The sequence below is a fragment of the Homo sapiens genome, chromosome 11 (genome assembly GCF_000001405.40).
Source record: "Homo sapiens chromosome 11, GRCh38.p14 Primary Assembly".
NCBI classification, from domain to species: Eukaryota; Metazoa; Chordata; class Mammalia; order Primates; family Hominidae; genus Homo; species Homo sapiens.
Window position 1 is genome coordinate 100,775,199 of NC_000011.10, and position 26,575 is coordinate 100,801,773.

The 26,575-nt window shown below is 37.8% G+C and overlaps 1 protein-coding gene across 4 annotated transcripts in view; it reads left to right on the forward strand.

The window, feature by feature from the left end:
• The window catches only part of ARHGAP42 (Rho GTPase activating protein 42), a 306,654-nt gene that overhangs the window by 87,911 nt on the left and 192,168 nt on the right, over positions 1-26,575 (forward strand). For all 4 annotated transcript variants that reach the window (NM_001367945.1, NM_152432.4, XM_011542616.3 and 1 more), the window contains exon 3: positions 19,907-19,968. Coding sequence is in view for 3 of the 4 variants with exons in the window: in NM_152432.4 (NP_689645.2) it covers positions 19,907-19,968 (62 nt within the window). In the remaining variant the exon portion in view is untranslated. The remainder of the gene's footprint in view (positions 1-19,906; positions 19,969-26,575) is intronic.

Here is a 26,575-nt window from a genome sequence, read left to right on the forward strand (position 1 = left end):
CACTAACTGCCCACTTTTTATTTGGCTTTGGTGTTTTGAACTGAGTAAGGAAGACATTGAGTTAGGAGTACAGTGCTAGACACGCGGGGCTCAGAAATTGGTGATGGAGGGGAGAAGAGTGACTATAAACCGGTATAAGATAGATTCAAGCTTCCTCTCATATATATTTATAGGGGTAGACCAAATACAAAAAGGTACCATCATTTAACTATAATTACACAAGTAATATGTATGTAAATACAAAAACAATACCCATTGCATCAGTCCTGGAGCACACTCTTGCATGGGAATTGATAACGTTCCAACATGAGTTATTTGCCCAGCCTTAAAACCTTACTGATAGGAAATAAAAGGTTATTTGTGCAGAAACTAAAATCATATTCTTTTGAAAACACTGTTTATGGTGGGTTAGTTCAAACGGCTGGATGTCCAAAGATACTACTGTGAATCTGCCTATGAGACGGGTTGTTTAGCTGCATTGATTTAGCACATTAGTGTATAGGATAATAAAAGACTTTAAGTCTGAGCACATCACTTGAGAATTTTTAACCACACCAAAGCTGGAGTATGCAAGTTACTCTATTTTGTTTTTGTATTAAGTACTTATAATTTGAAATCATTTTAAATCAAAGATTAAAAATGAGAAGACCTCTAGGTTTTAAAAAAATTTAGATATTGTGGCCGGGTACGGTGGCTCACGCTTGTAATCCCAGCACTTTGGGAGGCTGAGGCGGGCGGATCACCTGAGGTTGGGAGTTCGAGACCAGCCTGACCAACATGGTGAAACCCCATCTCTACTCAAAATACAAAATTAGCCAGGAGTGGTGGTGAATGCCTGTAATCCCAGCTACTTGGGAATCTGAGGCAGGAGAATAGCTTGAACCTGGGAGGGGGTTGTTGCGGTGAGCTGAGATCGTGCCATTGCACTCCAGCCTGGGCAACAAGAGCAAAACTCCATTTCAAAAAAAAAAAAAGTTAGATATTGTTAGTCAAACTGAACTAGTGCCAATAAAAATGTTAGTCATTAATATGAGGCAAAGTTTATTCATTCTATGTAATCTTGGAAACCATTGGAAAGTCCAGTTGCGATTGTGCGTAAACAGCTTGGTTAGTGATGTTGTGTGATGACCTAGACTCTCAGGAAAGTCTTGAACAGTATGAGCTTTGGACTCAAGAGATTAAACATTTACCAAGAAGGAGAGTCACTTTGCTAGTAAATATTTTTGGTGGAGACTTCATTCCTTTAGACACACCTAAACAGAAAATTCCTGTGGTAGTGACAGGCAATACACTACCATTTGTCAACTAAGGTAATAGCTCCAAATTAGGAGTGGAGAAATGAGTCAGTCAGTTAGGTAGTTTGGATCAAACTATATTTTTTAACAATCCCCCAGCTATTTCTGACATAACTAGTGTATTGCTGGTCCCTTGTTTACTCCATTTTAAATGCAGATATGCAGACATAGCAACAAGGATAGTGCCTAATAGTTAGCATCGGCCGGGCACAGTGGCTCACTCCTGTAATCCCAGCACTAGCACTTTAGGAGGCCTAGGCAGGCAGATCACCTCAGGTCAGGAGTTCAAGACCAGCCTGGTCAACATGGTGAAACCCCATCTCTTCTAAAAATACAAAAATGAGCTGGGCATGATGGCACGTGCCTGTAATCCCAGCTACTCGGGAAGCTGAGGCAGGAGAACCACTTGAACCCGGGAGGTGGAGGTTGCAGTGAACTCAGATTGCACCACTGCACTCCAGCCTGGGCAACAAAGTGAACACTGTCTCAAAAAAAAAAAAAAAAAAAACACGAAGAGCATGTCGCATTTTAAAAAAGAAGCTGTTTTATGGAAATGCTTGTACGAATCGTACATGTACTGATTGATGGATGAGAGCTCGAACATGAACCAAGTTTTGTGTACAGCATTGGCTGAGGTGCCCTGACATTTTTACTTCTTGTTCTGTCTTTAGGAGAATGTGTTGAAAGGTGAAGGTATAGCAGGTTAAAATAGTGGCAATTCAAGTCACAGGGGCTTTACTATGTCTTCCTGTGCTGGCAGTGCTTTGCCAAGGTGCAAATATTTATTGTTTGATTACCTCTCTGAGGCTGGGTGTGCATCAGTGGGTTACTGTGGTGAGGTGACTCACATTGATCTGTAGATAGAAGCCTGAGAGTGATCTTGGATACCTGATCTGAGGGTGTCAAGAAGAATTTTTTCAAGGGAGTGGTTGGAAAATCTCATTCAGTTTCTTTGTTAGAAGAGTGACTGTGTAAAAAGGCATAAAATTTTTACTTACTTTGAAGATGCGTCTGTTAGGTCAAATGGAAAGGTAATATTTGATTCTGTTTCCCAAATGAGAAATAGGAATATAGTCTAGGGTGGAAAGTATGGGAAACAATTTACTTTTTGTATTTGGAAAGGATTCCTCTATAGTGTAGAAACACTTTGAGAGATAATAGCTTTTGTTTCAGGTTAAAAATCATAACTGCCATAATAAATGCAGAAAATGCATTCAAAAGATCATTAATAATTTTTCTTAAAAAAAAGACCTATTTTCTTTTTTGACTTAAACAAATTCAATGATTAAATTATTGAAAATGCTTCTGTGAAAATTTTCTTCAGAATTTGGTCATGAGTACAAATATGCATTTTTACAGTTTACTCAATATTTGTCTAGTGGTATTGTGATACAAAAGGTAGAACTGGGCGGGGTGTGATAGTTCACACCTATAATCCTAGTGCTTGCAGAAGCCATGGCGGGAGGAATGCTTGAGACCAGGAGTCCCAGACCATCCTGGATGAGGCCCCAGTTCTATAAAAAGTAAAAATTTAGCCAGGCATGGTGGCATGCACCTATAGACCTAGCTACTCAGGAGGCTGAGGCTGCAGGATCCCTTGAGCCCAGAAGCTGAGGTTACATTAAACTATGATCACACCACTGTACTGCAGCCTGGGTAACATGTTGAGACCCTGTCTCTTAAGAAAAAAAAAAAAGAAACGGTGAAGTTGTTTGTAGCCATGAGATTCTTCTTGGGCATTTTTAGGAAAAATTTCTAAACCAAAGGCAATGCCATTATCAACCACAGCTGAACTCTTCTAAAAGAGACCTGTGATATTTTATTAAATTTGAGGAAGTAAACTACCTTCTCATTTGCTGAATCAAAAAAAAAATATCCATCATTCTTTACAGACCCTCATTACAACCACTTAAATGTGGTTATATAAATCAGGAAGTCGTGTATTAAAGTGGAACATTTCTAAATGCCTAAATTGTTTATACAAATAACATTTTCTTTTTAACTCTGCAGAGGAAGCATATTTTACTTTTTAATAGCTCTCAGTTGGACAATTGAATTATTGTTTTCCTGTTTTTTTTTTAAACCACCCTTATTTTTGTACCCACACAGAAACCACCCACAATTAATGATGGAAGCAGCTGGGAAAGTTGCACATTTCAGGTGGTGTTCCTCTCTTAAAAAAAACACGCTGCTTGAGAGAGATGCTTTTATCATATTAGCTGTGTATTTTGAAGCACTTTATTTGACTTAATTTGAAATTCAAAAGCTTAGGTGTTTCATATTTCAGGCTTCGAGTTAAAAAACAACCTGAAAACTTGTCATGTCACAAGCCTGGAAAGAAATTTATTTTTTAACTGATGGATAGACATTAATCCCCTAAAACCTCATTCTTTTTTTGTGACTTTGTTCTGCCCAACAAAAAATAGCCCAGTCTTTTGTACAGAGGGCTCACTTGCTTATCACTTGTAGCAAATTATATGCTCTTTGAGGTCTGAAAGTTTTACTCATATTCCTATTCCTTCGTAGTACTTTAGAGCTTTATTTGTAGCAAAGATTTAATATTTGTAGAGTGAACAACCACAGCTGTAAAAGCTATTAAACTTTTACAGAAATGAATCACTTTAGGGTAAATAGAATTTTAGAGCCTTATATTAACAATAATATATATACTGGCTGGGTGCAGTGGCTCACGCCTGTAATCCCAGCACTTTGGGAGGCCAAGGTGGGTGGATCACCTGAGGTCAGGAGTTCGAGACCAGCCTGACCAACATGGAGAAACCCCATCTCTACTAAAAATACAAAATTAGCTGGGCTTGTGGCACATGCCTGTAATCCCAGCTACTCGAGAGGCTGAGGGAGGAGAATTGCTTGAACCTGGGAGGCAGACTTTGCGGTGAGCCAAGATTGCACCGTTGCACTCTAGCCTGGGCAACAAGAGCGAGACTGCGTCTCAAAAAAAAAAAAAAAAAAAAAAATATATATATATATATATACACACACACACATATATACACGTATATATATACGTATACATGCGTATATATACGTATATATATACATATACATACGTATATATACGTATATATACATATATACGTGTATATATATGTACTTACTTGAATATATCTACTATGGTTCTTTTCAGTATGCTAATCTAAATTTTCAGAGGGTAATAGGTCATAAATTAACACACATGCACACACATATGTAATTTTTACATGTACTTTAGAATCATTTAGAACAAGTTTTTGGCTGGGTGCGGTGACTCACATCTGTAATCCCAGCACTTTGGGAGGCTGAGGCAGGTGTATTACCTGAAGTCAGGAGTTCGAGACCTGCCTGGCCAACATGGTGAAACCCTGTCTCTACTAAAAATAGAAAATTTGGCCAGGCATGGTGGCGCGTGCCTGTTGTCTCAGCTACTCGGGAGGCTGAGGCGGGAGAATTGCTTGAACCTGGGAGTCAGAGGTTGCAGTGATCCAAGATTGCGCCACTGCACTCTAGCCTGGGGGACAGAGTGAGACTCCATCTCAAAAACTAAAAAAAAAAACAAGTTTTAAAAATATTTATAAATATTAAAATAAATTTTAAACCAGAGTTAAAAATTTATTCTCTTTTTGCATTTATTCAATATTTATTGACTACCTGTTATGTGACAAGAACTGTGCTTGTGAAAAAGGTGGTCCAAATTTTGCTCTCATGGAGTGTACAAACTAAAGGATAAGGTGGTAAACCCCTTTTTTAAAATAACATGACTTTAAAAAAGGCTTATTTCAGGGAGGTGGATAGAGAGTCAAGGAGAACTTTTATCTATGGTTAGTAAAAAATAATCTCAACAAAATAATTAGTGTAATAAATGCTATGACCTATGCTAATTTGGGATGCAGAAATATATACTTGATCCTAATTATTTGCAAGTTTTATATTTGTGAATTAACATATTCTAAAATGTATTGGTAACCCCAAAAGCAATATTGCTGGTGCATTTGTGGATATGGGCAGAACAGTGATGAAGTTGGTCCACCTGACCCACCCAGGATCCACTCTATGAAGCATGGTGGAGCGTTATTGAAGACTAATAATACGATAGGTTTTTTGCTCTTCTGTAAGAGCGACATTGTTAAAGCCGAAGGCCGATGGGGATTAGAGTCAGAAACCGGCTTTGTAGCTTTCTCTTGCCTCTCTTTTGAACTTGTCTGTGCCTGCATTTCCTGGTTATACAACTCATTTATTCAGTAAATACTTAAGTATCAACCAGATCTAAGCCACAATGGGTGGCATAAGTAGTTTAAATTTTTTTTGGAGGACACCAACATTAAACAACCAAAGACGTGAAGTCACAATTGTTTTGAATCGTGTAAAAACAAAGCTAATTATGCTAAGAGAACATAGTCAAGATAGACTAGGCATTGTTGGGTGCCTATTGGTTAACATCAGAGCCTAGAAAAATAAGTGATGGCCCTTGTGGGTGTTATGGGCACAGCTTGCACTTTTGTTAATTGGAAAGAGTTCAATAGTAATAGATCATTTCTCAAAGTTCAGCCCACTGGCCCTGTTTTTTTGGTGTTTTCCTAGTTTTCTTTGTGGAGTTTCTCTAACTTATGTTAAATATACTGTAATATAAATTAATCAGCTTTAAAATAGCCTTTGAGGATGGTATTGTACAATAGGTGTTTTCTTGGTGTGGAGTAGTTTACCTCTTTCTCTCTGGGAGCTGCATTTCTATAGTTCTAGGATCTTTCTCTTACTTTCTTTATGTACATGTGAGGGTGGGGAGGAACAACATGAACTGTTTTTTTTTTTCTGAATGATCGGAAAATGCTACTTCTGACTTAGAAATGTTGGCTTGGTTTCCCAAATCACAACTTTAGTATAGTGGAGTAGAAGGAGACTTTGGTGAGCATGGGAGATAATGCTGATGTTTTCCTTCAGACCCAGAGGTGAAATGATTTTCTGAAGTCACATGGGTACTAGAACCTTGATAACTGGCTCTTAGGTTGTCAACTTTGACTTTGAGGTTACTTGTTCATTCACTCAATAAATACTTACCAAGCACCGAGAATTTGTCAGGTACCATGTTAGGTGCTGAAGATACATCATTGTGCAAAACAGAAATAAATCCTCACCCCAAGGGGGTTTGTATTCTTGTCAGAGGAATTAAATGATAAAACAGTTAAGTTCACTATATATTAAACTATGAGAAGTGCTACAAAGAGTCACAATTATTCAGATTTTTTTCTGTAATAGTTTTAATATACAGATATCTGTAATTTTAAGATGTTGATGTTACAACAAACTGCCTGTGAAGTGAAGCTTGGTTTATTTTCCATTAATCAAATTTATATGATCCCACAGATATTGACCTAATTCTGGATTTGAAACCATTTGGTGCAAAAGGAGTAACTGACCTCTGAGGCACACTGGCTGCACCACCACGAGATTTTTTTTTTTTTTTGTGCATTTAGAGCATTGGACAATTTTCCCAATTCTCTATTTGTCCTCCCACCCTGGATCATTGGACTTCTTTTCCTGCTTAGGCATACTTAGTCTGATTGTACACTTGAGTTTTCATTACCTTGATATATGTGATATTGAAGAAAACCAGGATGTGATATCCTCTTAGCTGGAGTGTGAGGATTGAGAACCAGAGAATATTATAGAAGACTTTGCTATGTAGTCTGGAGTTTAACTTGCAGGTTCTCAAAAAACACTCAAGGCCTTTAATTGCAGTTGCGCTTTAGGAGGTTTCTTCTAGCATCCATATATGTGATTCATTATAACATGGAAGTCTTTGCTAGTTCACAGTGAGTCAGAGATTACATGCATCACAAAATCCTTTATGCATCAAGAGAACACTTTTTAAAATGTGAATGAAATAATAAAAATATAATTTCAATTTTGACATAAAATGTTTGGACCAGAAAGGCAATAGCCTTGGAAATTGTATCTGTTAGAAGTGAGTTAGGAGGCAGAATATAGACAATCAGAAATTAATGGAACTAATTGGCAAAAAAGTAAGGACAAACATATGAGCAAGGAAGAAGACATTTGGGGATGAAAAGGAAGCAGAGTATATAGAGAGAGAAATTTGAAAACAAGAATAGAGTTGAATCACAGGCCTAAGACGTAAAAGAAATGTTTGCCTTGGATAGTTATCTAGGAATAGGAGGCTTAAAAAAAAAGAGGTGAATTTGGAGTAATTTCTTTGTCAAGGATAGAATTCAGGATAGTTGGTGAGTCGTGATTCAGGGGGCAGTGGAGAGAAGAGCTTTGGTGTCATGCTTGATTTTTGGGACTCGGAAATAACATCTCAGTGCTGAGGGTACTATTTCTGCCATTGAAATACACATGAACTTCAAGTAAGGAAGTAAAGATGATCCTTACAGATCTAATTGAAATATACACTTTCCTACTTAAATAGTTTAAATCTTTAATTCCTCACACAAAGCATGCATTTTATTTCCCAAAATCAGGAGCTGCCAGACTGCCTAGCATCACAATCAACTGTGGGGAGCCTTAGAAATTTGATTTCTGGGCTCTACCATAGGCCTGAACTAAGGCAAACTCCCCAGGGTGATGACCGTAAGATCCTTTAATTTTATGGAGATCCTTGGTGTCTCATGCAGCCTGTGGAAAATCACTGCTTTGAACACTAGTCTTGGCTGGTCATGGTGGCTCACGCCTGTAATCCCAGCCCTTTGGGAGGCTGAGGCGGGTGGATTGCTTGAGCCCAGGAGTTCGAGACCAGCCTGGGGAATATGGGGAAACTCCATCTCTACTAAAAATACAAAAATTATTTGGGCATGTTGGTGTGCACCTGTAGTCCCAGCTACTTGAGAGGCTGAGGTGGGAGGATCACCTTAGCCCAGAAGGCGGAGGCTGCAGTGAGCTGAGATCACACCACTGCACTCTAGCCTGGGCAACAGAGTGAGACTCTGTCTCAAAACAAAACAAAACAAAAAATCAACAGTAGACTTGTGGTATATGCAGAAGAAGGCACAGTGGGAGGGTGGTACTGTTTTAGTCTATTCCTGCAGTGTGCCTTTTGAATGGCCAGATCCCTGATTCCCAGTGTCATGCCAGTACAGCCACGAAAGCTGTAAGGGCCACTTGTTTGTAGGGAAACCTGGTCATTTCTTGCCACTTTGTCCTTCACAGCCTGATAATAAATTTTGTTTTAAGTGTCTGTCTTTAGAATAAGAGATGATTTTCATGAGCCAGTGCCAATGCTGTGCAAATTTCCCAGGGATGAAAAAGAAAACAGCTTTCAAATCAAAATGATATACAAGGTGTGACTTACTTAGTTCATGCTGATGTGGACTTTGGATTCCCTAAACTTCTCTACCAATAATGAGTGTCTTCTGAGTGCAAAGAACCTCCTGGTTCATGCAAACATGAATCAAATCATCTTGTATTCTTGTTATACTTACAAAATAGAAGGGGGGTCAAAAAATAACTTATGATCTAATCAGTATAATGCTAAGGAGAATGTGCCCAGTGCTTTAGGTACAGTAAGGACAAAATGCTGTGAGAGTATCAGAGCCAGAGAAGGGATTTCCAGCTGGGGACATCAGAAGATGCCTAAATAGAGGAGGTTATTTGAACTGGGTCCTAATGGTTAGGTATGATGCAGACAGAAAATATAGGTAAAAGAAAAACACAGAAATGGGAAAACTACAGGAATGTATAGTAGTTTCTAAGTGCAAAGTTTGAGATTAGAAATAGTAGCATCTTGGACTAAGTTACATAGGCACGTACCTTATGGCCACATCATGGGGGCCTCAAATTATTTGCAGTTTGGAGTTTGGACCCTTTTAAAAATCCATTTAAGGATTTTGAATTGGATAATGACATGATCAAAGGTGCCCTCTAGGAGTTTTATTCTAGTGTCCCTACATAAAATGAGTTAGAGCCACAGAAGCTGGGAAACTAATGTAATATGACAGCAGAGATGAAGTAAGATCCTTATATGGGTATGTAAGAAGGGTAGAGGAGAGGAATCAGCAGCATTTGGTGATTGGATATATGGAAGGAAGGACTGAAGATTATTCCTCACTCATGCTACTAGGAGAATGGTGTTACCAGCACATTTATGTATTCTTATGTGCCAGGGCATCTGGGATGGAAGAGAATTATGAACTTAGTTTTGACATGTGTTAAACTTGAGATTCAAAAAAAAAAAATCCTTAGTATTAAATTTCCTGTAGGTAATTTGATGTGTTAAATTTAGGATGAATGGATGGTGCTGTGGGGTTATACCTACAGTAGTGAAAAAGTGTATAAATTTCAGATCAGCTAATTTGGATTCAAAATTTAGTGCTACAAGTCATTAGTTCTATGACCTTGCATGTTATTTAATCTGTATACTTCAGTTTTCCTATCTGAAAAATGCAGAGAATGGCAGTAGATTTGAGGATTTTACATGTGACTTTCTGATGGGATGTTGTGAGCATTGAAGAGCTTTGCACAGTGCTAGCACCGTATCAGGTAAATCTCCTCCTCCTTTCCACAGCCCATGTTTTTCTGTTCCTTGGACCTCATTAGGATAGTAGGGCCCTTGCTTGGAGCTAGTTTGCAGACCAAGAGGAAGGAGAAAACAGCATTGTGAAGAGGGAGGAGTGATGATGAAAATAACAGAGAGGGAAAGAGAGAGAGGGAGAAGAGAGAGAAATGAGATTAGAGGCTTACTGTGGAGTTGTTAGCTTTTGAGAGGACGAGGGCCCCTTTTCTGAGACAGGAGACAAGTTGAAGAGAATGAATAAAGACAGTGCTGATCAGAGAGTCTTGAACTTCTCTCACAGAATCAGGAGGCCGGGCCATCTGGTAAGAGTGAGGGGAAGCCTGGGGCTGGGTTCTTGGTAGAAAGACGAGAATTCTTTTTAGATAACCACTGTGGGAAATAAGATTAGGAGTGAACTAGAGTTGAATAAAAGGATTGCCAAAAAGCAAAAGCAAAGGGGTTAGATAGCTTGAACTTTTAGTGTCCTTGTGGGTGTGTGAATTACAGAGAAGAGGTCACTGGAGGTTAAGAGGTTGTGGAAAAGAGCACTGGGCAAGGAAGTGGATGTTGAGGCTTCACTAGGGTGGGTGGTGGCAGGAGCTTGGGTGCAGAAGAGCATGAATGGGATGCTTCAGCCTGTGGAATGTGAAGGAGTGCTGGGAGGTCAGTTCCTGATGGCAGGAAACATGGGGGCAGTGCGAGGTGTAAGTGGTTGCTTGTCAGCAGCAAATTACTGATTATTCCCCTTCAGTCAGGATACTTGGCACTCGATTACTCTTTGAGCATAAACAGCTCTGGAACTGTTTGCCTTTAAAGATGATAAGCCTGTTCTTTTCCTCCTGTAATGTAGCAGGATACAGGCTGGCACTACTTTTTAATTTTTTCCCTTTGACAATAATGGTTTGTTGGGAGAGAACAGACTTTGGAATCAAACAATCAAAATCAAATACCTGCTTCTCTACCTACTAGCTCTGGGATTGTAGGGCAAGTTCTAGCTGATGGATTGTCCTTTTTTCCCTCTGTGAAATCAGGATAACACCTACTTCAGCACCTCATATTATGATGTGGACATTAAATGAGATAGTATATGTAATGTCACTGCCTCTTGGTAGAGGAGCTCCCAAATGTGAGAATACTCAAATTTGGGAAAATGGTTTCTGAATTGGGGGTGGTTTTGACTTTGGGAAACAGAATAAACATTAAAACAAAACAAAACAAGGGAACATCAGAATTGCACAGGTCCTCATTTTCATGAGCACACTAAATGTGCTTGCAAAGAAAACAAAATATGTGACTTGATGACTTCATTAGGCACAACACTTATTGCATTGACAAAAATCTCAGTAAAGTTTTCTGAAGAATTCAGATAAAATTCATTTGAAGTAATAAGATAGTGGGAAGAAGTCTAGGGAAAAGGCAGCAGAAATTAAGTTTTGAAATTGTGTGAAAATGAAATGTTGTCCTTTTTGCATTTGCATGTATCTATTTGCCAAAATTTGGCCTTTTGTGAAATATATACACTTACCATATATATATAAGCCTAGTATACATATATGAGTATATATACCTGAACTCTCAAACTACCTTATAGTTTGGCAGCTGCAGAGTAGGTATTACTAAGTTGTTTTAAGCTAGTTCTGGGAGAGTATCCTAAGGAAAAACTATTAGATATATAGTTTAGAATTATTTCCGTAATCTACTGTGACTTTCACCCTGGAGTCATCATAATTATGACTAATTTTCATAGTTAATGCTAACAATCTGGAGCAGTAGTAGCAGCCACTTTCTCTTATGGGGCAAGTCCCTGGCTTACAGAAGGTTTCTTTGTTTTGAGTCTAGCTGTGATATGGTTTGGCTCTGTGTCCTCACCCAAATCTCATCTGGAATTATAATTCCCCTGTGTCAAGAAAGGTGATTGGATCATGGGGGCAGTTTTCCTCATGCTGTTCTTGTGTTGGTGAGGGAGTTCTCATGAAGTCTGTTGGTTTAAAAGTGGCAGTTTCGCTGGGTGTGGTGGCTCACACCCGTAATCCCAGCATTTTGGGAGGCCGAGGCGGGTGGATCACGAGGTCAGGAGATCGAGACCATCCTGACTAACACCGTGAAACCCTGTCTCTACTAAAAATACAAAAAAATTAGGCGGGCATGGTGGTGGGCGCCTGTAGTCCCAGCTACTCAGGAGGCTGAGGCAAGAGAATGGCATGAACCTGGGAGGCAGAGCTTGCAGTGAGCCGAGATCGCACCACTGTACTCCAGCCTGGGGAACAGAGTGAGACTCCGTCTCAAAAAAAAAAAAAAGTGGCAGTTTCCCCTATGTGCACTCTATCTCCTGCCACCATGTAAGACATGCCTACTTCCCATTTATCTTTCGCCACGATTGTAAGTTTCCTGAGTCCTCCCCAGCCATGTAGGAGTGTGAATCAGTTAAACCTCTTTTGTTTATAAATTACCCAGTCTCATGTAGTTCTTTATAGCAGTGTGAAAACAGACTAACATAAGTTGTTATGCTGGTGAGGATAAGAGAAATGAGAGTATTCAGTGAGACCAGAAGAGAGCGAAAGATTAAAGACTTGGTCACAAGTTCTGAATCTCAGCCCAAATGTGGTTTGGCAGGCAATGTTGGGATCCACATTGATAGACAAGATTAAAGTATAGCACAGATTGGTGCCTGGGTACCTGTGCAATATCAAGAACCCAGGCGTGGAGGGAGGCACTGGGAACAGGGGCTGAGTGAGAATTTAAAAGGAGGCTAGACTATGGGTCATAACCCCTGCCAAGAGTCTGGGTAGTATGGTTAAAGGATAAACAGGAACAAGGGAAAGCATAAAGAAATCCCTCAATGGTAAGCCAATGGATTCCAAAGTAGGAATTCTTTACATGTGCCTTGTGAAGAGTCTGGATTGGTGTTTGATTGCTGGAAGGACCAAATTCATCATAGGTGCTTGTAATATAGACAAGATAGATAAGTGCTGAGGCAGAGATGCCCCTAACCCTATGCAGAGTATCTTCTCAACTTGATAAAAGTCTAGTTTTATTATCATTTTCTTTTGTGGACTGTGCATTTCTTATTTCCTAATACTTAATTAGGAACTATGCTATGATATTAAACAACTTTGTAATTACTCAAATAATGTCTAGTAAGCTCCTCCAACTTGGTATGTCTCATATTTGCCTAAACTTAACTCATCTGATTGCATGGCTTCATTGGGATTCCTTGGCGATAGGATATAATTAAATAATTTAAATGCAAGATTTCAGAGCGTGTTCTCAAGATGACTCTGTTTTTGATTTGTGTTTGGCAATTAAAAAGCAAAATCTGACCACAAGGAGGACATTGTGGAGAACCAGACTTAGATACCTCAATGATAACTAAATTTCCATGTGTTTTTCATGTGAGCCTTTAGATTACAAGGGGCTGTGAAGTATCAGAAGGATGTATGCCTCCAAGTACTAGGTCGTATTTACAGTGACATGCCAGTATTCGTCAGTAGGGCTGTGACTTTTTTTTCTGTTGATTTATTTAATAGGAAGCAATTTATTGACTTTGCAAGTGAGCATCCGTGGAGCTTGAAGCCAGAAATGGAGTGGAAAAATCTTATTTGATGTTGTGGCTCCTAGAAAATAATAACTAGAATTTGTGGTTGCAGATAAAACCAATATTGCAGAGTGGATGGCCTATCAGTGAGGGTATTAATTGCTACCAAAGACACCAAGTATCTGGTGGGAGAGTTGGTGTCACTTTTAATAAAACTCACCCTGTTTTGCTGACATGGTATTTATTGTTTAGGTATACCACAAACTGATTGTGCTTCTTATTTTGGTTATGGATTAAATTGTTCTTAAAATTTACCATTGGATACAGCAGTCAGTATGCTACCTTTGATTTTTTAAGTGTTCAAAAAATTAAGACTCTCTCAGTGGAAGTTCCAAGCATAAACTACTGATGTGATGGTCCTTAGATTATTGCATGCTTTTGTAGTATAATGCTGGGTATCACTTGGCTATGTATGTTTATCCTGCTCTTATTTTTCTTGGTGTGGCCAGGTCTAGAAGCATATGACCAAGTCATCTGCTCTGGCTTATATCCGATTTAAGTGGTAATGTTTTACTACTTGTTTCCTACTCTGTATGAAATGTCAGTTAAGAAGGATACTAAGAAAGGGCTTTACAGAGCCTACACTGTCATCCAAATGGAAAAGTAAGGTTATTGTTGGGGCATCATCTGGACTTATAAAATGTAATTGCATTGGTTCAATCTGGCTTTTATAGACTTCTATAGATTTTTAAGTTTTCCTAGAGATATAACAACATCTAAATTCTTACTGCTGACGCAGTTCTCCATTGTAGCATATCTGAGGGTGTTATGCCAAGTGTCAGGTTCCAGCCTAAGCTGAGGACCGAGGGGAGTGGGTGGATGAGTGGCAGGTAGCTGGAAAAAATGCTTGCAAGATCGTAGACAGTTTTGATATGGCTTTACTCTCTCTCTGGGCATGAGTGAGCTGTGGGTGCAAGCAAGCCATGGGTGCAGTCAAGCCATGGGCATGAGTCTTGGCGTGAGCATTAGCAGGGTAATTATACCTTTTACAGACAGTAGTGGCTCCAAACCAAGCATGTGCTCACGTGAGTGATCACCTAATGCGTCTTGCATGGTTACATAACGTACAGAGTTGTGTGCCTGTGCTCCAAATCTGCTGAGTCATGCTGCACTGGAAGGCCGCCTTGGCCTATTCCTGACTAAAGTGCAGCCATCTCCCTTACAGAAGGTCATAAGGGATTTGGGCAGTCTAATAAAGTGATATAGCATGCTGTTGACATTATTGTATATGTCACTGAATTTATGATCTGTACTTTTTTTGGGGTGTGTGTTTTACGTTATTTAAGTTTAAGGAAAGACTTCTGGAAGAAATTTTTAACACAGCATTGTCTGATTATGATATAAATGTTAATTGGATGCAAGAGAGACATGCTTTCCCAATTCTCATCGTAGTTTTAAAATATGTAAAGCCCAAACTGATCAATTGTTGAAACATTTGATGGTATATTACCTAGTATTTAAGATAGTGGAGTTATGTCAACAATGAACACAGCAATTTTTAACATTTTCTCTCATTCTACTTTTAGACATTAAACAGGTCTTCCAGGCAAAAATAGTAGTGTGAATTTAAGCGTGCTAAAAAGATTAATCTACAAAATAGGTATTTTAGACAGTTTAGGAATGTTTCAGAATTTATGATATTGGCAAATATAGAAGCTGTCATCATACTTCCTCACTGTCTAGGTATGATTCAACTATTATGTTTGTGAACGTTTATACTCTCAGCACCTGTCATAAATAGACTTCAGTAATAGTTTTTTTTTTTGTTCTGAAAGTGTTTTTCCAATATTATGTTGTAGAGATAAAAGGAAACCAATGGTAATGTTCTTAAACTCAATAATTTGTTAGAAAGTTAAAATTTATATATGAAACTATATTTTGATTGTTCTTTAGTAATCTCATGCTCCAGTTGGACAGGAAGGGAGAGAGATTACTACTGAATATAGTCAGGAAAGTTTCATGCAGGTGGCAGGAATTTAGATAGCTAACATAATTTCCCAAAGTGTCCGGCCTATCTTTTCATAATATTTCATGAATCCTAGAATAAGAGTTGGTATGTTTCTCCTTGTAGAGCAAATAGATTGTGGAAATGTATTGTTAAACTCCCAAATGCATTCAATGGTCATCTATTTTCAGTCTACTGTGTATTAAGTATTGGTTTTGGAATATATCTCTGACTAAACCAAGTTCTTGTCATAAAAAATATTGTTATGGTTAAAATCTGTAATTTTAGGACCAGCTGTTGTGTTACATGTTAGTCTGGATCCCCAAAACCAGATAATAAAGTAGTTGTTATTCATGTAAATAATAATATTGATAAATAAAATACGAGGTATTACAAATTATTGCTGATAATTGAGTATTAGAAATGTGCATGTAACTTCCAGATTTTGCTTAAGGAAAGTCTGAGAATAAGTGGCTCAAACATTCACACAAACTCAATAACTATTCTGTATAAAGCACAGTGATGGGTGCTGGGGGTAGTTATTTTGTGTATGCTTTTTGTCCAAAGTCTGGTGTAGAATAGACTCCACAGTTTTCATGGTCTCTTAGGGCATTTTTGGGTCCTGTGTACCAGAAGTTCTAACCCTGGCCTCTCATGTCTAGGGAGCTGCTGGGGCACACTAGGCAGTTTGGATCTGCCTGGCTTGTGTCAGAGGTTTCTGTTAGACTTTGTGGATGGGCCAGGCAGGGAAGTGACTGGAGATCCCCATCAGCCTGTTCTCTTAAAATGCAATTTACATGATAATACCTTACATTCTTGTACCTGCTCTATGGTATTGTAAATTCCTGTTTAAGAAAGCACAGAAAGATCTGTGTTATGTTAAGCCTAGAAAACTATTAACACAATACTTTGATATTATTATAAATGAAAGGATTTAGAGGAAAATTTCAGATATGGGCTTAAAAAGTTAGGCCACTGTTACTAACTCATAAAATGAATATTTAATGTCCTCAACTTTTTTTTTTAATAGAACAAATGACAAACATGAGTGTCTTCATTGTACCAAGAAATATGTCCTTTTCTGGAACTGAGACTACAAAATTTAAAGACACCCAGTCGTAATTTTTTGAAGTCCTTTCCCTGAAAAATCAACAAAAAAAAAAAGAGGGAAGAAAATTTGTTGTCAGATTGGGGCCAGTCTCAGAAAACTCCTGGAGGGAGAGGAGTTTTTGTTGTGGAGAACCAGACATGCAATTGCTTTTGCATGTTAAAATTTTTCTTCTCAGACATTGCCATTATAATCAACTATTATCTTACTAAATCTATAAATAGTGTTCATATGGGAAACAGACCAGAAAACCATTCAAGTAAAATAGAAAACAGTATCATAAATTTTTAAACAAAAAAGTAGAATAGCAAAATGAGAGCTTGTTTTCTTACTTGTAACCAAAATCTGATTTAAGACAACTTCACGATTTGCTCTTGAGGTAGGAGGTACCTTAGGGGAAGCCTGTGGACTTCAGCTGTTCTCAGAGGCAATACCCAGGAGCCAGTGAAATACACCCTGAGGCTGTATGAGCCAGTGATCATTTCCTGGCTTGACCAAATGGGAAGTTCTAGTGTGCTCCTGCCAATCTAATATTGTTATATTTTCATTTATTCCAAAATAGCTGTTGACAGGCTTCTATGTACTAGGTATTTATTTAGCCCTTTGGGAAATTTAATAAATAAAGGATCTATGTCCTCCTAGCATTTAGACTAGTATGAAAATAAAGCATTTGTAGCATGTTTTATTCTTCATTATATGTTGAAAAAGTTATAGATTTTGTTAGGATTAATGAAAACTAGCAATCTCCTATCTTGCCAGTCCCCACTACTTACTTTAATTTCTCAGAAAGACTATGTTGAACTTTTAGTCATTTCTTGTAATTTTTTCAAGACCGTGATTGTCCTGCTATTTTTAGAATTTGTTTTTCAGTTTTAGATATTTATCATTTGGCTTCATACTGTTTTCATACATGTCTTTACTTCATACTGTTTTACACATGCCTTTCTCCTGTTCTCTCGATAGTTAAAACAACTTTGGCAAAATAAGTTTTTCATGTTATATTGTAGTGACTTTGTACATATTAGTTACAAGTCAGCTACTTAGTTTATTGTGATTGTGTTATTTGTATAATGTTGTTTTCCCAGGAATTAACAATTGACTTGGAATTTTCTTTTTTTTTTTTTTTTTTGAGACCGAGTCTCTCTCTGTCACCTAGGCTGGAGTGCAGTGGCACGATCTCGGCTTACTGCAAGCTCTGCCTTCCGGGTTCACGCCGTTCTCCTGCCTCAGCCTCCTGAGTAGCTGGGACTACAGGTGCCCGCCACCACGCCCTGCTAATTTTTTTTGTATTTTTAGTAGAGGTGGGGTTTCATCGTGTTAGCCAGGATGGTCTCCATCTCCTGACCTCGTGACCTGCACTCCTCAGCCTCCCAAAGTGCTGGGATTACAGGCGTGAGCCACCGCGCCCAGCCAGAATTTTCTTTTTTTAAAAAACATACTTATTGTTACACTCAGGCAACCCAAACTGACCTACCTCTTGACTTCTTTCTCTGTAGACCTGTTATCATTGCCTTCCAGCATCCAGAGTTTTGTTGACTTCTTCAAACTCACCAACCAACAGCTTCAGTGGCAGTAGATACCTACCAGAATGATGGAATACTTTAACCAAAAGAAAGCACAAAAATATAATATGCTGTTATACACTCCAGTTAAAATATTCTTTCTATTTATATAATAATTTTTTGTTCAACTAACTGTTGTCAAAATGGGAATGTATTATAACATTAATACCAATATTTCTGAAGAGATCTCTTTTATCCAAACTTTAAAGAAAAGACCATTAATGTGTTTATTAGATTATCCTGAGTCTCCCAGGTAATCCATTGATTTCTGTTTTGGTAACTCTGAATAAAATCCAATATGAAATAATCATAGGGTTTAATATTTCACACCAGTTTGGCTAGTATAAGCCTAGTAATTCTGAAAAGAGAAAATATTTTAAGTTGGAATTTTTAATTCTTAAATGGAAAATATTTTTTATCTTCCTTAATGAGTTCTTTTGATGAGTTCTTTTGATTTGTTTTTCTCACTTACTTGTCTTTGTTGTTGGCTTTATGCCAGAATTACTAAACTTCTGGTCTCACAGGATGTTTCCGGTATTAAGATGGGGAAAGGAAGTGAGTAGGAATCTAACAAATAAGGCTGTATGGCCCGGTGCAATGGCTCATGCCTGTAATCCCAGCACTTTGGGAGGCTGAGGCAGGAGGATCACTTGAGTCCAAGAGTTTGAGACCATCTGGGCAACATAGTGAGACCCTGTCTCTACAAAATAAATAAGTAAATAAATAAACAAAATTAGCCAGGTGTGGTACACGCCTGTAGTCTTAGGTACTTGGGAGGCTGAGGTGGGAAGATTGCTTGAGCCTGGGAGATCGAGGCTGCAGTGATTTCACCACTGCTCTCCAATCCGAACAACAGAGCTAGACCCTGTCTCAAAAAAAAAAAAAAAAAAAAAAAAAAAAAAAAAAAAAGACATAGAAGAGGTTTATTTGTGTTACCATTTTTGTGACCCAAACATTCTAACTTTGGTTAATTATTCATTTTAAGCATTAGGTTTGAAAAATTGATATGGGTGAATTACTCTTCCATAATTGCCATTTGGACCTATGCATTTTTAAAGAATATGCTACTATAACATCCCTTTAATTTATTTGCTTAGTTTTTATTTGCTCCCACAATGTTTCTGAGTACTTGATCTTTCCCATTTCAATTTAAATTGTTCTTCTTGTTCAATTCCTACTAAAAGTAAAGCAATATAGGTACAGATAGTTTTCTAAAGCAGGCCTCTCAACTTTAATACAGAAACAGATTACCAGAGGATCTTGTTAAAATGCAGATTCTGGGGTGGGGCCTGAGAGTCTGCATTTCTAACAAACTCCCAAGATGCTGATGTTAACGCTGAATTGAACAGCAAAGATCTAACATACCTTGGATGTAGAAGTAAAGTTGATCCCTTCAGTATATGGAAGCTGTTTTCAATTATCTGTGACCCTTCAGCTTCTAGAAGTCAGTGGAAAATTTTGCATTACTGGCTGCTACTAAGTACACGAAATAGTAGATTTGTTGCTCCTTACAGACTTAAAAATGTTTGGTTATTTGTAGGTCACTGCTTACAAATGATTTCAATGCTATGTTTATCAATATATGTGTACATTTTACATATTAAATATATAAGCTATATTTCTTCCAATGTCTTTGAAGAAAAGATATTGTTGGTACTTGCTAAGCTTTAATTTGTACATACCTCTCTGATCCATAGCTGTTAGTGATTAGGATCCTATTGTATATTGTTTTATGGTTATACAAACATAAAATCACAGAATATAGTATATTCAAATTAATAGTATACAGAATATACTATATACAAATTAATAACCAGCTTTCTTGTAATGTTTCTTCTTGAGTAATTAGATATTAGCTATGAAAATATTAATTCTTTGCATTTTTTTATCTTTCCAAACAGCTCAGTCACTAAAAGAATTTGCAAGACTACTCATTGCAGTAGAAGAAGAAAGGCGAAGACTGGTAAGTCTGTTCTGTATTTCTTAAGAATATTGCTTTGTTTCAACATATTAAAGAGAAAGAATGGACTTCCTGAACTAGAGAACTTTATACAAGGCCTTATGATTTGACACGTCTACTAATTTTTACATGTATTTTTGAAAAGATTTGTGACTATAATTATCATATATTGCTGATAAGATATACCATTTTTTTCTAATTATATGCTTGGCATATGTAGGTTAGCTTTATTTTGCTTGCCATTTACTGTTCTAAGGATTAAAAATATTGATCAGACTGCCATTAAGAAACCCATTCTAATTCAGCAAACATTTAGAGGTTATAACAACCTCAGTGTTATAATACAAACATGTTTCAAATGTTTGAGACAATTCATGGAAGGAGGAACTTGCCAGGGTAGTGTTAAAAGGTAACGCTTGAGTTGAACCCTGAAGGTTGGGAGAATTTTGCTAGGCTGGGAAGGACAGGGAAAACATTCTAGATTGATGGATGAATATATGCAAAGGTATTAGAGCATAGTTATTGGTGAAACACTTATCCATTCAAAAATATGATTTTATGCCCAATGTTTTCAAATATCTGTGATGTTCTCTGTTTATGATGCAATGTCCTCATCTGTAATATGGGAAAAATAGTAGTATATATCCCACAGGATTGTTGGAAAGCATCTGTAGCAGCACCTGGCACATAGTAAATACATTTTGATGGTGATAACGATGCTGATAGTCAGTTACAGTGAGGGTTACAGACTTATCTAAGACATTATCTCTGATTTAACTGACCTCACTGTCCACTTGGGGGATTATATACACATATACAGCCATACTTCATTTCTTTGTGCTTTACTATACCACATTTTGCAGATAATGTGTGGTTTTTGTTTTTCGTTTGTTTTGTTTTTGTTTTCAAATTAAGGGTTTTGGTAACCTGCATTGAGCAAGTCTGTTGGCACCATTTTTCTAACAGCATGTGTGTACTTTCTGTCTCTGTGTCACGTTTTGGTAATTCTCTCAATGTTTCAAATTTTTTCATTAGTGTTATATCTGTTGTGGTGACCTGTGATGCGTGAATGTTAGGGTTACTATTAGGACTTTTTTGGGACTCCACAGACCCTACCCAAATAAGACTGTGAACATAATAAATGGTGAGTGTGTTCTGACTGCTGTACCAGCCAGCCATTCACCCATCTCTCTTCCTGTCCTCAGATCTCTCTATTGCCTGAAACATGAATATATTGAAATTAGGCCAACTAAAAACCTTACAGTGGCCTCTAAGTGTTCAAGTGAAAGGAAGTGTCATGTGTCTCTCACTTTTTTAAGCCAAAAGGTAGAACTGATTTAAGTTTAGTGAAGAAGGCATGTCAAAACCTGATGCAGGCTTAAAGCTAGGCCTCTTGAAACAAATAGTTAGCAAAGTGGTGAGTGCAAAGGAAAGTTCTTGGAGGAAATTAAAAGTACTAGTCTATTAAACCCACAAATGATAAGAAAACAAAACAGCACTATTACTAATATGGAGAAAATTTTAGTGGTCTGGATAGAAGATCAAACTAGCCACATTTCCTTAAGCCAAGCCCATTGAGAACAAGTCCCTAACTCTTTTTAATTCTTTTTTTTTTTTTTTTTTTCAGACAGAGTCTCACTCTGTCGTCCAGGCTGGAGTGCAGTGGCGCGATCTTTGCTCACTGCAACCTCTGCCTCCTGGGTTCAAGCGATTCTCCTGCCTCAGCCTCCTGAGTAGCTGGGATTGTAGGTGCACCCCACCCACCTGGCTAATTATTGTATTTTTAGTAGAGATGGGATTTCACCATGTTGGTCAGGCTGGTCTTGAACTCCTGACCTCGTGATCAGCCTGCCTTGGCCTCCCAAAATGCTGGGATTACAGGCGTGAGCCACTGCATCCAGCCCAACTCTTTTCAATTCTATGAATGCTGAAAGAGGTGAGGAAAGCTGCAGAAGAAGAGTTTGGAGCTAGTAGTGGTTGGTTCATAAGGTTTAAGGAAAGAAGCCATCACTATAACATAAAAATGCAAGATGAAGCAGCCAAGTGCTGATATAGAAGCTGCAGCAAGTTATCCAAAAGATCTGGCTGAGATCGTAGATGAAGGTGGCTATACTAAACAACAGAATTTCAATGTAGACAAAACAGCCTTCCCTTGGAAGAAGTTGCCATCTAGGACTTTCACAGCAATAAAAGAAAAGTAGTCAGTGTCTGGCTTCAAAGGATGGGCTGACTCTCATGTTAGGTACTAATGTAGCTGGTGATTTTAAGTTGAAGCCAGTGCTCATTTACCATTCCAGAAATCCTAGGGCCCTTAAGAATTATGCTAAATCTACCCTGTCTGGGCTCTAGTTATAGAACATGGAGCCTGGATGAGAGCACATCAGTTTACAGCATGGTTTACTGAGTATTTTAAGTCCACTGTTGAGACCTAATGTTCAGGAAAAAAAAAAAAAGATAGCATTAAAAATATTACTGCTCATTGACAATATACCTGGTCACCCAAGAGCTATGATGGAGATGTGCAAGGAAATTAGTGTTTTCATGTCTGTTAACACAACATTCATTCTGCAGCCCATGGATCAAGGAGTAATTTTGACTTTCAAGTCTTATGATTTAAGAAATACATTTTTTCAAGGCTATAGCTGCCATAGATTTTGATTCCTCTGATGGAGCTCATCAAAGTCAATTGAAAACTTTCTGGAAAGGATTTATCACTAGAAGTTGATTCTAGTGATTCCTGCTCACAAAGAGGTTAAAATATCAACTGAAGTTTGGAAGAAGTTGATTCCAGCCCTCATGGATGACTTGGAGAGGTTCAAGACTCAGTGGAGTAAATAACTATAGATGTGATGGAAGATTTAAGAGAACTAGAATTAGAAGTGGAGCCTGAAGATGTGACTGAATTGCTGCAATCTCATGATGAGACTTAAATAGATAAGGAATTGCTTCCTATGGATAAGCAAAATACATGGTTTCTTGAGATCAGATCTACTCTTGGTGAAGATACTGTGAATATTGTTGAAATAACAACAAAGGATTTAGAAGACTACATAAACTTAGTTGAGAATGCAGTAGCAGGGTTGACAAGATAGACTTCAATTTTGAAAGAAGTTCTACCATGGGTAAAATGCTATCAAACTGTAATTCATGCTACAGAGAAATTTTCTGTGAAAGGAAGATTCAATCAATGCTACAGACTTCATTGTTGTCTTAAGAAATTACCACAGCCACTCCGGCCTTCAGCAACCACCACCCTGATCAGTTAACAGTCATCAGCATCAAGACAGGAGCCTCCACCATCAAAAAGATTATGACTTGCTGAAGGCTCAGACGATTGTTAGCATTTTTCAGGCAGGAAATACTTTTAAATTAAGGTATGTACACCATTTTTTTAGACAAAACACTATTGCACACTCAGTAGACTACAATATTACATAAATATAACTTATTTGCACTGGCATCAAAAATTCATGTGACTTGCTTTATTTATATTTACACATATTCATATATTGAACTTATGTACTTTATATATTTTATTTATATTTAATGTGATATTCACTTTATTGCAGTAACTTGGAACTGAACCCACAATATCTCTGAGGTATGCCTGGTTGATATAATACTCAGGTGTGGACTGAATCCTCTGGGACTGTGACACAGTATGGTATTATTTTTCTGAACTGATAAGAGAAAGCCATTTGAGGAAGGTGGGTGTTATTAAGGTGCCCTTGACTCAGAGGGTACATTTCCTGAGCTGGGGAAGGATCACACAAGTAGGTCGTGGCAGTTGTAGAAATGAACTTGGACAGAGGCCCCAAAGTGGGAGACAGTTCTGTATAAGTTGTGGAATAAGGCAGATAGTTCTTAGAAGGGATTAGTAGAAGGTTAATTAATAGTTGTGGTCATATGCAGGGTTACAGGGCTACACCTAGAAGTTTTTGTGTTTGTTATAGGCAATGGGAGAATTCCCAGAAGTTTTTGGAGAGAAGAATGAGAGAATTAAAGTACGATTCAGGTGATATTACTTTGGTAGCCATGTGAGAAAGAGATGAGGTGGGGAAGAAATGTTCTGGCTGGTGGTGGGATGACCACATTCATTTAGGAAACATTAGCCTACATGGGTCTAGTCCCAGTGCCAGAGAGACAGCCATGCAGTGTGACCTGTACTACTAGAAATGTGTATACTTTTATGGGAGACTGACGTTTTCTGGTGGGGCAAAGAAAGGTTTTCTGTGAAGGTGACTTTGATCTGAGTTTTGAAGCCTAAATAGTATGCTGTTTTACGTGCTTTATATGTGATCCTTACTCTACCTATGTGAACTGTATCAAAGAAGTCTAACTTCCACAGGGAGAATTGGGTAGTATGTGCACTTGTGTTCAACAAGAGCCTCTGATGACAGAAATGGGAAAGAGAGGTTAGAGAGATGTGAAAATTAAGAATTAGAAGAGTAATGGAGCCAAGAGAAATAGTTCTGGGTTGGCGAGGCTGTGATTCAGATCTTGTGTAAATAGTTCAGGAAAGCAATAAACTAAGTACCATAGTTATAATTCTAGAAAATATGACGGTTTAAAGAATAGAAGAAAATGTGTTGTAGTTTTTGGGAGGAAAGAGATCCAAAGGAATGTTCTCATAGCACTGAAGAGACTTTGTAGGCATCAGAGGAAAAGCTCTTCCTTTAAGGTGGAAGAAAAGAAAGAGGGTTGATAAAAACGTAGTAGAAATGTGAAATGGTAAAATGGTTGATTGGACAAGTGGAGAATAGTGTTATGAAGGAGTGGTTATTTAATGTGCCCAGGAGTTTGTAGAAATGGTTTAGAACAGCCAAGGGGGTAAGTTATTCAAAAGAGAAGTAAGGGGACTATGGTCAGCAATGAAGAGAAATTGAAGTTAGCCATCATAAGTCTGTTAAGGATAGACTAGTTACTATGTTTTTGTGGATTTTTCTAGGAATACCCAATACTGAACTGTAAACAGTAAGCACAGTTGGGGGATCAGATTCAAGTTGATGGTTGGCTCAGAAGACAATGGTGCTGGATTAAGGAGACATGGATTTGTATAATATGAAAATGGGTATTGGTTAAGTGTAGCAATAATCGAGGCAGGAGGTTATTGATAGCCTTAGAAAGCAGAGATGGCAAGCATAACTACTTAGTGATGTTGAAGGTTCACTGGGAACAGAGGGGAGTTGGAAGACAGGGAAGTTGTGAAATGTGCTGAGCTTGGTTTTGGAGCTGGTCTGGATAGTGATGAGATTAGGATGTAGCTGAGCTGGGAGACAGGCCTTAGGAATCCAGAAAGCTGAGCTCAGAGATTTGGATGTTTTATGGACAGGATCTTGACATCATCCAATATGATGACAGAGTCAAGGACAGCGACCAAGGAGAGGAAATGGCTCAAGAATGTGTTAGAGTATCTTATAAGCCATGGAGATGAAGGAAGATCCGACCACCCATTTCTTAGTGTTTCAAAGATCTTCATTTCATTTCTTCTTTTGGCCATGTTTCTGTTTTTGGGGCAGGGAAGAAATTCTGCTTTCGTGAAATCATACTGTGGGTTTTGATTGCTTTACCTGTTGTTTCAGAAAGGGTCTGAAATAAAGAATGTGCAATGTAATGAAAAAAACTATAGATACAAGTCTAATGGAATGCATTTCCACAGATTATATACAAAATAAGCGCTGATCACACAAATCTAAACATTGCAGTGATAAGTTAACACTTCAGTCACATAAGTTAACACTTCAGTCATATGATGTTATTAAAACAATGATAGTATAGGTTTAATATCCCTTATCCAAAATGCTTGGGACCAAAAATGTTTTAGATTTCAGATTTTAAAAAATTTGGAATATTTGCATTATACTTACTGGCTAAGCATCCCAAATTTGAAAATTTCATATTGGAAGTGCTCCAGAGAGCATTTCCTTTGAACATTATGTCTGTACTCAAAAAGTTTTGGATTTTGGGACATTCCGGATTTTAGATTTTCAGATTTGGGATGCTCAACCTGTATGTATAGATGGTGAGAGATTTTGTACAAAGATGTGTCAAAGAACTTGTATTTAAAAAATTAGTGCTTTATTTGGGGAGAAGAATATTTTTAGTGTACCAGGAAATTGTAAAGGGACTATATAATTAATTATAAAACCACTAGTTCAGATTTTTTTATTGATAAATCATGAGTATTATATATATATTTGTTAGGTTTGACCAAAGTCTTCAGTATGTTGAAACAGTGAGTAAACAAAAATATCGACTGGATGCAGTTGCTCATACCTGTAATCTCAGCATGAGGAAGATTTACCATATTTAGGAAGATGAATATGTCATCTTGGTAGTTTAATGACTATTTGCAGAAAAGAGCCCAAAGAAACATGGGTTTTAGAAATGGAACTTCCTCTTGTCTCCTTCTAACTTTAAATATTGAGGATTTTTTTTGTTTTGTTTTGTTGTTTTTGTTTGTTTGTTTTTTTACATTTCTGCTAAAGCCAACTAAAATGCATAGTTTTAATGCAACAAAAAAGCACCTGAGAAAATAATGGAAAGTATGTTTCAGAACCTTTTGAGGAGGGTATAGTTTATTCTGTCTCATACATCTCACACACCTTCC